The sequence below is a fragment of the Homo sapiens genome, chromosome 2, assembly GCF_000001405.40.
Source record: "Homo sapiens chromosome 2, GRCh38.p14 Primary Assembly".
Classification (NCBI taxonomy): domain Eukaryota; kingdom Metazoa; phylum Chordata; class Mammalia; order Primates; family Hominidae; genus Homo; species Homo sapiens.
Genome location: NC_000002.12, coordinates 210,187,045 through 210,200,865, shown reverse-complemented (window position 1 = coordinate 210,200,865; position 13,821 = coordinate 210,187,045). Strand labels below are relative to the sequence as shown.

General features: G+C 34.6%; 1 protein-coding gene across 3 annotated transcripts in view; it reads left to right on the top strand.

Moving 5' to 3' along the window:
• The window catches only part of ACADL (acyl-CoA dehydrogenase long chain), a 37,525-nt gene extending 24,582 nt beyond the window's left edge, over positions 1–12,943 (top strand). For all 3 annotated transcript variants that reach the window (NM_001608.4, XM_005246517.5, XM_047444103.1), the window contains exons 9-11: positions 5,528–5,655; positions 7,976–8,062; positions 11,812–12,943. In NM_001608.4, coding sequence (NP_001599.1) covers positions 5,528–5,655; positions 7,976–8,062; positions 11,812–11,905 — 309 coding nt within the window. In that variant the 3' untranslated portion in view covers positions 11,906–12,943. The remainder of the gene's footprint in view (positions 1–5,527; positions 5,656–7,975; positions 8,063–11,811) is intronic.

Genomic DNA, 13,821 nt, shown 5'->3' with positions numbered 1-13,821 from the left:
TTATTCCTTACATAATGCCTTGCTCCATTTTGTTTCAATATGGGAGACCTTTTTACCATCTACTTCCTCTTGCTCTTGATCTAGACCCTCTCTTTGTCGTTTTGGGAACTGTTTGCTACCGGTATTGTCATCAAATTAACTTTTTCCATCCTGAAAAAAAGTCTTTACATCCTAACTTTTCTTATTGACATAACAAACCTAAAACAGTTGTTCTGAATCTCTAAAAATGAGGTACACTCAATCAAGAAAACATTTAACAAAACAGTATGACTTGACTTGATTAAATTCTGATTTCCTTAAGAGCAAGGATGTTATACTTTATATTCCCTTTCATTTATGGATCACTGATTTACACGTATCAGAGGTTCTCAGTGAATGCCCTTTCACTCAGGTGTTTAGAAATGTCAGGAATGAGGTGGAGGTGGGTGTGCACAGTTGACTGGAGGTATAACTTGTATAGTGCCCTGGAGGACAGTGTTGTTAAATGTCCTGTAATTCACATTTGGATTACAACTAATTGTGTCACTCAAAATATCAATAATTTCCCATTGAGAAAAACTGACATATATGATTTTTTCCTTTTTGGTTCACTGAACAAATATATATTGATTGCCTCCTAAGGGTAATGTGTTCAACTGTAATTTGATGGGTGTAACTCTAGAAACACATACTACGCTCCTGGCAATATGAAGGAAGTGTTACCACTTGATATCACTCTGATTTTCTCAACTGTACCCAAAGTGGAATGAGTATCATTTGCTTCTGAAATCCAACCACCACCACTTAAACATCAAAAATGTTTACTAAAACACTTATACCAAGGCCAGGCATAGTGGCTCACACCTGTAATCCCAGCACGTTGGGAGGCCTAGGCAGGCAGATTGCTTGAGCCCAGGACTTTGAGACCAACCTGGACAACGTGGCAAAACCTCATCTCTACAAAAAATACAAAAATTAGCCAGGTGTGGTGGTGTGTGTCTGTAGTCTCAGCTACTCAAGAGGCTAAGGTGGGAGGATCGCTTGAGCCCTGGAGGCAGATGTTGCAGTGAGCTGAGATCTCACTATTGTACTCTAGCCTGAGTGACATAGCAAGACCCTGTCTCCCTGCTCCCCACAAAAATGAATACAAAAACAAAAATATACCTTTAGCCTTATTTTGGCTAAAGGTATAACAGTTGAACCAAAAGACATGTTTCCATTCCTTTGGAAATCTACATTTCCTGTGTTTATGAACTTAATACTAGATTACAACAAGGATGACTATATTATTACCCAGATTGCCTGAATGGCTCAGAAGGCATGTAATTTGACATTTAACCATGAAGGAAATAGGAAAGTGGTCCATATTGTTTTCTCATAGGGGAAAAATATTCTTTTAAAATATATATTTATTGTATTTTAATAGCAAAAAATAAATAACTTTAATCATTCCTTTTTAAAGAAGTATCATTTTATTGTTGCCTTCTTTCAAAGTTAGTTCCCTAAACTTTCAGTAGGTGGCAGTAGCATTCTACTTCCACAGGTCACATTATTGATAGCTAGTAGTATTGTTTTCCAAGTAAGTTTATATGTTCTGAGATTTCTGAGATATGTCTTCTGATCTTCCTATTTTATCTAAATAAATATATTTGAATAATATTTTCATATTTCAAGCTAGGAGTATATTCAGAGATGATGAATAACCGATACTGTACATACCTATACCTTGTATTCAAGAGCTGGGTACACTATGGATCTAGTTATTCAATTGAAATAGAAGAGCTTTAAATGTTACAATATACTTGGCCACATGTCATTTTATAACTATATAACTATTCAGTTTCCATTCTCTTTGTTATCCTTGAATTTTGGACATTTTGGGGCTTTCTGACCAGTTGAAATGCATGTCACAAAATTTATTTTCTTTTTAGAATAGAAACCTACGTATGGATGTAGCAATAATTATTAGGATTTTTAAAATCTATGCTCTCCATAGTTTATGTCGATCTTATGGTTTTTTGCGGAATAGACAATAAAACAGTAAAATCCAGATGTTAAATAATAATGGATATTATTGCTTGACTGCTCCCTATCTGCCAGACACTGCTAAGTGAATGGTCTCATTCTTTTTCTTCACAAATCTATATAAGTATTTTAATTATTTTTATTTTACAGTTAAGGAAATTAAGGTATAGAGAGGTTAAGTAACTTGCCCCAAATTACACATATATTCTAATTCCAGAACCTACACTCTTTACCTATATACTGTTATTACTGCCCAGAAGTGCAAAGCAGATGGGCCTTTTTTCTTTTCCTATTTCCTTCACTCAGTGGGCAACGAAGTGAAAATGGAATGTTTTTTCTAATCTAATGAGAGCTCTTGGTTAGTCATTTCCTGTGTGGTATGTGTTCTTAATTCTAAGGGCATAAAGAATTAGGGAGAGGAATAGAGAGGAAAAAAATAATACTTCTTCTTGACATGTGTCTAAAATGGGAATATCCAGTTTTTAAGACCTTGAGCATGGGACTAATTAACTATCAAATAGCAAACCTAGTGTGTTTCATTTTATATTTTAACCATAATATGTGAGAGCAACTGATGCTGTTGTTTAAATGAATACTGGGCTAGATAACCTCTCCAAGGTGTTCTCCATTTCCATAATTCTAAGAATTCTGTCATTCAGAACTCTGAAAAAGACTCCATCCAGCCCACTTAGTAACTTCAGAATAATTTTTAATGCTAGCTGCAGTATTATTTATTAACAAATATAAATGACTTAAAAATACTGCTATGACCTTGTCGATCATTCACTAAGAGCACTTGACTAGTAATGTGTGGTCTAATTTTTAGTTGCCTTTGATTAGAGGATGATTTCAGAAAGCATAATGCAGTGTCTGCAGTGAAAAGCAAAGACCAAATCTGTTTAGTAACGCTCAACCCAATGGCAAGAATATGTAAATATTTAATCTTTTTATCCTCAGAGAGTAAATTATGTACTCTTGGAGACATTATTCTCTCAGACCTCTGGACTTCACTGAATGCACTGATGCAAGAATTCTAAATCATTCCATTCTGGTTTGAAGTTTTACTTCAGCTTCTAGAAGTTTCCAGCATTTACAAAGGAATGACTCTTGTATGAGAGAATCAGGCTTAGATATCTTTACTCTTTCATATTGTAAAGACAGTGCATAAATTCCCAAATGTGGCATCATGTAGGCAAAAAAATATCTTGAGACTTGTTGGATCCACCCTTATTTTCCAAATAAAGTGTCATACATAGTGTCATTGAACTAAACTAGGAGTAGGCTTAGAAACCATCTTCAGGGATTTTCATGGAATACTCATCTGTTTTCGATATATAGATTATTTGCCTATTTTTTTCTTTTTTTGTTCCATCTTTATATTGTCTAAGAGTAAACTTCAATGTGTGGGTTGGGAGTGGGAAACTTTGTGCTGATTAAAGGGTAGATATTTGACCTAATTAAATATATGATGAATAGAAATGGAGATAGAAAAAATTAAGGGAAACAATAAGCGGGGAAGAAAGTTTTGATGTGACCCAGCATGTTCAGAACTAGAGGCCAGAATACAGAGATGGAAGGAGTGGGGTGCCAACCTTCTCATTGCTTAGTTTTGGAATCATTCGATGCCAGTTACATTCTCTGTTTCTAGAACAGGGTGAAATAAAACCAGGGGAAAGACAGTCAGTTGGAGTTTTCATCAGCACAGTAGTTATGTTGATATACCTGTAAGGAATCTGCCCCTCAGAGCTTTACTCCACCTGATACACCCTGGTCTTGCTTGGTCCTGGGTCTTTTTACACTCCCATTCTACTCTTTTCCAGAAATGGTAAGTATCAAAACTGTCCCAACCAACAATGACAGTGAAAGAATCAGTTTTATAACTTGAGAATTGCTGTAGCCAGCATTAAAAGCAGACCATGTATCTTCTGAGAATGTGTCCCACCACCCTCCTTTGAGAACACAGCTGTGGCTTTGGACTTGGTAGTACCTAGGTGGGATGTGTTTAATTTCTAGTTTGAGTTTCACTGCACCACCTTTGCCTGTAACTTTCCATGTATATGCTATTAGCCACAGTGAAGTTCTTACTCATTTCACAGCAGAATGATCAGAACTGTTTCTATCTGAATTTTCACAAAGAAGATAGGCCAGCTGACCATATCTGGGCCTTGGACCTAAGAAATCAACTAGAATGGAGTATACTTTTGGAGCTACCCAAAGTGGGAACCCAGTATTTCAAGTTCAAGCCAATTTCCTGAGGGAGGCTCAAGAGTCAGTGCCAAAGAGAACAGATATACACTCCAAGTTCAGAGTGTGAGAGCCTAGAGTCAGGAATGAAATAAAGCTTGATTGAAGCAAGGACAGTCAGCAACAATTGAGAATGGTCTAAATAGAATGATTTCCAAAAATGCTAATGGGTTGTCCATGGCCAGTAGGAGGAGGTAGGTACATAGCTATATTAACATTGATAATCCCAGACCATTCAGTCCAAGCTAGAGACTGCTAAACAAGCTATTGAGAGGTACGGGAGGTGTATTCATCCATTTTCATACTGCTATGAAGAAATACCTGAGACTGGGTAATTTATTAAAAAAAAAAAAAGAGGTTTAATGGACTCACAGTTCCACATGGCTGGGGAGGCCTCATAATCATGGCGGAAGGTGAAGGAGGAACAACAGCACATCTTACATGGTAGCAGGCAAAACAGCGTGTGCAGGGGAACCACTCTTTATAAAACCATCAGATCTCATGAGACTTACTCACTATCACAAGAACATCATGGGACAAACCCACCCCCATGATTCAATTATCTCCCACCACGTCCCTCCCACAACATGTGGGGATTATGGGAGCTACAATTCAAGATAAGATTTGGGTAGGGACAGAGCCAAACCATATCAGAAGGGATAATGTGAAGGGATGAAAGAGGATGAGGGTACTGGATTTTGATCTCTTTAGTACTCTGATTTTATTCTATTGCTTTCTACAGATCTAGATTAAATACTGTGCAATATTAAATAATACCTTATATTTTGATGTTTATGAACATATATAGAAACCCCTTGTCCCTCCAGATGTTAGAAGCAGAGTAGCAAAATCTGTATACTTAATTTCATTAATAAAGAAAAAAATCTTCAAGGATTTAATCTCTGGAGGAAAAAGCAACAGGTGTTTTCAACGGCTGTACCTAAATAACTGTACCACAAGATGGTGCTCACACATTAAAGTCATGCTGTTTTTCAAGAATTTTGCCTCGTCTAAATTTTACAATCTGAAACAAGACATTGTTTATGTTTTAAACTATTTTTGCATCTTTTAGTACAAATTTCCTTAGCACTGAAATATAGTGAGTTTTAAATTTAAGCTGATTTGGTAACAAATGCCATTTTTATGGAGGAAAAAACCAACAATTCCACTTTTGTTTGCCCTAAAGATCTTTTATTGTATAATTTCTGATATGTTAAGTGGGTTGAAGTTTATATTTCTACCATGCTCACTTTTTTCTTTTATTTCCTTTAAATTCAAGACAGTGCAACATAAATTAGCAGAATTAAAAACACATATATGTGTAACCCGAGCATTTGTGGACAACTGTCTCCAGCTGCATGAAGCGAAACGTTTGGACTCCGCCACTGCTTGCATGGCGAAATATTGGTATGCATGCTACAGTAATTAGAGTGCGGTGTGTGCTCAGACTGATATGGAATTCTGCCAATTTTAAGCTCAGCCTTGAGGGTCTTAAAGGAAGAAATCTGTGAAATGAAAAATAAAAGTGAGACTCCACTTTAAAAAAAAATGCTAAAAAGTTCCATTAAGCATATGTATAATGTGCTAAAAATGTTTCAAGTTGGTATTTAATTTTTTTATCCTAATAGGCAAGCAAAGTTAGTATTTAATTCTTAACTTGCTATTGAAAATAAAATATTAAGAGTGGGAAAATGAAGAGTGATATTGATAGGATGACTGATTCATTCATTCAAGTAATAGTTTAATTTCAAATTATCTGAAGAGTGGCAGTATAGTGAGGCTGAAAGGGAACAGTAAAACTTAGGAGTCTTGAGATAGAGTCCAAATTCTTTTATTAAATAACTATAATTAAACTTAATTCCATCCAGGAAAATGTTTTTGTTATCTGTGAAATGACTAAGTTGGACAGGATTTTTCTATTTAAGGTGCTTTCCAATTTTAAGAAAAAATTCAGGAAGAACTGGCTGTCCAATCAAAGTTTCACAGGCTCTATTAAGTGAAAGGAGAATAAAAATCCTATTAAGTTTAGAAAGACTTCGATTTGAATTAAAGATTATTAGCAATGGTGTTAAAGATGAGTTGAATGAAAAAACATCCCTGTATGTCAGACTTTTGTATATTTTAAGATTTTAGAATATACAGTCTAAATCAGATTCTGGAAGTAGATTTGGTTTCCTCTTTTTAAAAACAAACATTCTCCCATATCATTAGCCCAAGAGTAACTTAGAATAAATTCCTGTCATTATTCATTAACTTGTGTTCAGTTCAATCACAGGTAGAACAGGGGAAATATTTTGTGCTTTATATAATGATCCCATAATAACAAAATTGCCAGGTTGAAAAATAATGTGGAATTACTTTTCAGAAACTTGCACTTTTGAGGAGACTTTTTATATTTACATTTACAAGAAGTTCTTTGACTAGTGGCAAAAAGTGTAAAAAAAATTTACATATTTTTGGAAAAAGAGAAGTTTGGATAGCCATTGACCTTGTTATTTGAAAACCTCAGGTTTATACACATGCTCATATTTCACACTGAAACACAGGAGGCAACTAGTTATAGCCCAGTAAATATTTCACTAAAATACTTGCCAAATATAAAAAATTAGAGAAATCCAAATATTATTGTCCCCAAAGTCTTGTCTATTAATAATTATATTGTTAATATATTGCTTAGAAATATCCTCACCTGTCGTATGGTCTGAGTTTTAAATTATTTTAAATAAAAAGAAGTATCTACCCTTATTTTTGCTTTATGCTTCCCACTATTGAAAAATAAGTAGTGGGGTGCTGTAGCTTGCCACTGTAGTAACTCCTACTTGAGAAGCTGAGGTGAGAGGATCCTTTGAGCCCTGGAGTTCAAGACTGTAATGAGCTATGATTGTGCCACTGTATCCCAACCTAGGCCCTAGAGTGGGTGAGACTCCATCACTAAAACAGACTCACAAACAAAAAGAAAGAAAGAAAAGAAAAATAAGTAGAAAAGAATTTTGAACTAATGTATTTTTATGTTAAGGTGAATAAAATCTCTATCATGAATTTTAATGATAGAATTGTGATATTATCAGAAAAGAATTTTTCTCAAGCACTGCATGTTTATGTATACAAACATTATATATAATACTAATACATACACTTCAGGAATAATAATCTCTATATAATTTTCTAATGTTTCCTATATGATAGCATATACTTTGTTAGTCTGCCCTCTTAGGTTTTCACTTTTATCTTCAATTTATTTCTGAAAAGTCAGAACCCTAAAAAATTGCTTTTTTATACTGAAATTCAGAATCGTGATCTTCAAGTAGAAAGTGACATCATTGGAGAAAAAATGCATATTACAAGGGCAAAAAGAACTAGGTGGCTGAGTAATTTAGATCATATAGAGAATCCAAATAAATTAGAACATATTCAAGTCTTTACTGCATGTTTTTCTAGCCTCAAATAGCCAAAATCTAATCATCTGAGTTTTCTACCTTTTGTTTCTAGCCTAACAAAAACCTAGCAAGAAATATAATTAATGAAAAAGGTACTCTTATATGAAAATTCTCTTGAAATATATTTCATATGTAATTTTTATCTTCTTTGCTTAGCTAATATGCCGTTCTAATTGCTTAATAAATGTGCACATTTAAACAATTGTAAATAATTAGTTTTCTGGTTTTGAAGCACCTCATGAAAATCCATTTCAAACATTTCTTTTCTGCCTTTTATTTTGGTCATTTAGGGCATCTGAGTTACAAAATAGTGTAGCTTACGACTGTGTACAGCTCCATGGAGGTTGGGGATACATGTGGGAGTACCCAATTGCAAAGTAAGTATAGTTTTCTGATACACTCTTCTTTATGATGTGAAGAAAAAGGAAAATTTCTTTACTTTGTACATCAAATGTAGAGGGAAAGGAGGTGTGCAATCTTTTGAATTTTTCAGCTGAATACAGACAAAATGTATTCAAGCAAATGGAAACAGCTTTTTTTTTATCAACTCCCTACTAGGATTTTATTTTTCTTAAATAAAGTAAAGAGACCAATAAACAAAAGCTTGATCCTTGGCTTTATTTGAATCCTTATGTAGAAGGACAAATAGTATTTTCAAAAATTTTTTAATTTTTTTATTTTTTATTTTATTTTGAGACAGTCTCGCTCTGTCACCCAGGTTGGAGTACAGTGGCATGATCTGGGTTCACTGCAACCTCCACCTTCCAGGTTCAAATAATTCTTGTGCCTCAGTCTCCAGAGTAGCTGGAATTAACAGGTGCGTGCCATGACACCTGGCTAATTTTTTTGTATTTTTAGTAGAGGTGTGGTTTTGCCATGTTGGCCAGGCTGGTCTCAAACCCCTGGCCTCAAGTGATCTGCCTGCCTTGGCATCCCAAAGTACTGGGATTACAGGCGTGAGCCACTGCATCCGGCCAAATACTACTTTTTTTTTAAAACCAAAAAAAAAAAAAAGCAATACAGAAAAATTAACTGGCATATGAAAAGGATCTAAGTTGTCACATATCTTAAATATCTGATTATTTGTTTTGTTCTAAAAAAATTAAAAATCTTCTTTCTAAATAGATTTATTTCCTTCAAATTGAAAGAAATCAAATATATCTTTTTATCATATATGAATATTCTTATCAGTTTGAAGCAGTACTAATTTGTAAATAGGCAGTGTCCCCATTCATATTTCTTCCTCAATCTCCAGAATTTCCTTTTCTCCTAACAGTCTTTTGCCTCAGAAGTCTCCCCATAGCTTTTTTTCCTCATCACCCTAGAAAATATATTTTTCTGATTATTTAGCAATGATTTTGGTTTAGAAAATTTTCCCAAGGAAATTTTTTATTTATACAGAAAAGTTCAGTTTGTTCTGAATCTGAGAGTAAGAATGCTATAGGCTTCTAAAAATGTTTTAAGATTATCTTAATATAAAGTATCTAAAGGGAAAAATTATGAAACCTACATTCAAACTGGCAGCCTAATGATTTCAAATTTATCTTTTTGGTAAGTATAATTGGAAACATTTAATATGCTTATAGTCCTTAGAAAAAATATTTTACTAAAATTACATTAAGAACAGAAGCTATGTAGTGGCTCAATGTTTGTGTGGTTTAGTTCACATTTAAGAAAGGCCTATTAGGTGGGGAGAAGGCAATCATCTAAATGGCTTAAGATTAGAGCGTGGCATAAGCCTTGGTCTCTGTTTTCTCGGAGTCAACTCCTTCAAGTTGGTACCAAGCAAACAATGTAGATTGATGGCTTATTTGAAATCTCTGGTTTCAGTTTGAGAGACTTATATTCTCTTTAAGAAACAATAATCACCTTTCTTGGCCAGTTTGTTAGTTCAAAGATTGTATCAATTTTTAAACTAGACTGCTATTTCTCTTCCCATATATCGCCTAATATCAAAAAAGCCACTGAGGCCACGTGCGGTGGCTCACTCCTGTAATCCCAGCACTTTGGGATGCCAAAGCGGGTGGATCACCTGAGGTCAAGAGTTCAAGACCAGCCTGGGCAAAATGGCGAAACACCATTTCTACTAAAAATACAAAAAAATTAGCTAGGCGTGGTTGCAGGTGCCTGTAGTCCCAGCTACTCCAGAGGCATGAGAATCGCTCTAACCCGAGAGGCGGAGGTTGCAGTGAGTCGAGATTGCGCCACTGCACTCCAGCCTGGGCGACAGAGTGAGACTGTCTCAAAAAAAAAAAAACAAACAACAACAACAACAACAAAAAAGCCACATAGACACATTGGCAATATGTGGATGTAATGTATAGATTTTGATTTGATAAAAAAAGAAAAATCTTCTAATTGTGTTTCTTATATCCCCCAGACTAAACTACATTAGTTTATATATATGTTGCTGAGGGTTGGTTTCATAGATAAGAGGTGTTTTCTCTGCTTTTTTATTTTGTTTTTTTGTTTTTGTCTTCTTTAATAACTGGTCTTCAGCATGTGGGTTTATTTAATAAGTCTTACTCATTAGGCTCGAGCCCGTGAGGAGTGAGATTTAAGCCTTGTCATTTTAAGATTTCTCTGCCATGCTGGGAAGAGCTGCCTTAGATGTAGAACTTCACTGCAGTGTGGTTAAACATTTCTGCTGCCGCCTTTCACTGTTAATTTTAGTTGATGACTAAATTTAATTAGTAACATATAAAAGGTCTACTAATCTCTGCTTTACTCCATTGGAACTTCTTTAATGTAAAAAGAAGCCTAGCCCATTTACAAATATATATATATATATCTAAACGCATTGGGACTGCTGAAGTAGGCTTACAGTAGGTAAGTGCTCAAAATGCAGGTGCTAGATTTTGTAGAGAATAGCAAAATCCGTTCAGAAAAAAATGTTTGAAAACATAAATATCTCAAGCTTTTAAAGCTTTCAGCAGAAAGTTCTGAGATTGTAAATTTCCTTTGTAACACCGTAAATCATATCAGTAAATATTTACTGAGTGTCCATTTCTTTGTAAGGAACCCTGATGAATATGGAGAAGAATAAGTCCAAAAGTGGTATGTTCCTAGAGAGCTGGCACATTTAATTTGTCTTAAAAATCAAATTTAAACAAAACAAAACACCAAGATTATACTTGAGAAAAAAAAAAGAAAAGCCTTTGAGTGTGTCTACCAGGAAAGTCCAAAGTTCAATAACTAGCTCTAAGTGCTTTGGCCAATGAAAGTGTTGCAATATACAAAAAAGATATTTGAAAAAGAGGCAGAATACCTACATCCTCATTCCAGTCTGCCAATGATGTGTTGTTGGTGACCATTAAATAGCAACCATTAATTAGGAAATATATTAACTTCTCTCTACTTTAGTTCCTTTACCAGGGAAACAGTATTAACATTTATCCCTCCCCAATCCCAGAGCTGAGAGGATAAAATGAGATGAGAAAAGATAAAAACAACTGTACAGTGGTACGGTTGTTATCATGACTATCAAAAGTGAACTTATGATATTTGGGTTTTTTTTTTCTTTGGTGTGGGTATAGCAATGGACTCAGCCACTTAGTATTTTAACTCCACACATTGCTGAAGTGACTATTAACCATTTCCAAAAAACAAGTTACTTGTTAACTTTCTGGGAAATAATATTTGCTAAAGCATTAGTTTATATTCCTGATAGTGATAGTGGTTGTGGGAATGCTAGAAAATATGTATCTTTTTTCTTTTGTTTTCTATAAAACCAGTGGATTTCAACTTTTTAGGAAACATTAAAGATAAAAAGAAACTAAGACATCCTGTGCATTTCCTAATCTAAAACAGACTTTTTAAGAGTGTTATCATATGTGCTGAATTTTACAAAATTAAATCAGATGAAACATACTCATTATTTTTATTTTGAATTTGTAATCTCTTTAATCAAATTAATACAAAGCTATACAGATTATTAACATCTTAATAGTTTTTTTTACTATTATTCCAATTTAGGATGAATGCCATATTGAAAAAATAAGTAATTTATGAAGGACTTTTATTGTTTGTACTTCACTAATTGAATAGTTTATGAGTTACCTGGTAAGACAAAATTTACAGTTTCTAATATATTTTATTTATTCATTCAATCATCTGATTTATCCAGAGCTTATGTGGATGCCAGAGTTCAGCCAATCTATGGTGGTACAAATGAAATAATGAAGGAGCTGATTGCAAGAGAGATTGTCTTTGACAAGTAGACATCTGCCCACATCCTGGAGTCCTATTACAGCTAATCTCGTTTTAAATCTGCTCAAGATAAAATGTAACTTGGAAAGCGAGGAAACACTAAACATGTTTTTACCTGCTCTCTCTATAGAGAAGGAAATAAAATATAAATATAAGATTAACACAGTGGAAGGACAAATCTTTGAAGCCAAAATTCTAGTTTTCCAATATAAGGTTTAACTTACAGTTTTTTATGTAGCCAAAGGTAAACGGTTTTCTGAATCTTGCCTAGGTGTTTCATTTATCTCTAAAATTCTAAAAAGCATAAATCATTCAAATCTTCAAACCAAGGCAGAAATAATTTTATGTCGCTATAGTATAAAAACATTAATAAGATAGCACATTGACTTTTAAAGGGAAAAGTAAATATAACTTAGCATGTAAACTCATTTCGGCTACCATTTGCTCCAAATTCCCTAGAACAGTGGTTTTTACCACTGTACTCCAACCCCGTTTTTAAGCAATGGAACTCTTTCTTCAAACAAAAGCTTATGCAGAACATCTCTGTGAAACGCTGCTGAGTGAGAACTGCTTTCATTGAAGCTGGAAGCCATCATACCTTACTGCCTTGAAACCCCTAGGACTCAGCTAAGTATTTGCCTAACCCTGACCAGGGAATGCCTTGGTTCTGTCAATTGCTGACATCTGAGAACACAGAATAATCCATCATTTTTAATTTCAAGATATTGGTACATTTTATAGGTATCAAAGCAATGGCTTTTCTTTTGCAACAGTTAATGTATTTATTAACTTAATAATTACTTTATGTCTTCTATAAACCAGGCTGTTAATACAATGATGACAAACAAAACTGGCAAGATCACTAAAAAATAAGTGAATAAACAAATAAGTAGTAAAATAAGGTAAGAAGTAAATATGTAAAAGAGATAATTTCAAGCATAAGTGCAATGTAAATAATAAAGTAAGCATTTAAAATTCAAAAGTGAGGAAATGACATTTGATTTAAGACTTAAAAGTAATTACAAAAAATAAACCATTAATTTAAAGTAGCTTTAACATGGAAACAGATGTATTCTTACTCAACTTAGAACACAAACATTTTATTTGGTATTGTTGATATTAAACATTGTTTTTTAATACAACCATTACAACTGGAGAGAGGAGAGGGAAGAAAAAATATTTTGATACCAGTCTTTTTAAAATTTTTTTTATTGTACTTTATTTTTTAAGATGGAGTCTCGCTCTGTCATTCAAGGAGTGCAATGGCGTGATCTCTGCTCACAGCAACCTCCGCCTCCCAGGTTCAAGCAATTCTCCTGTCTCAGCCTCCTGAGTAGCTGGGATTACAGGCACGCACCACCACACCTGGCTAATTTTTGTATTTTTAGTAGAGATGGGGTTTCGCCACGTTGGTCAGGCTGGTCTCGAACTCTTGGCCTCGTGTTCTGCCCACCTCGGCCTCCCAAAGTGCTGTGATTACAGGTGTGAGCCACTGCACCCGGCCTTTTTATTATACTTTAAGCTCTGGGATATATGTGCAGAACATGCAGGTTTGTTACATAGGTATACACATGCCATGGTGGTTTGCTGCACCCATCAACCCGTCATCTACATTGGGTATTTTCTCCTAATGCTATCCCTCCCCTACCCCCCTACCCTCCACAGGCCCTGGTGTGTGATGTTCCCTTCCCCGTATCCATGTGTTCTCATTTTTCAACTCTCACTTATGAATGAGAACATGCAGTGTTTGGTTTTCTGTTCCTGTGTTAGTTTGCTGAGAATGATGGTTTCCAGCTTCATCCATATCCCCACAAAGAACATGAACGCATCCTTTTTATGGCTGCATAGTATTCCATGGTGTATATGTGCCACATTTTCTTTATCCAGTCTATCATTAATGGGCATTTGTGTTGGTTCCAAGTCTTTG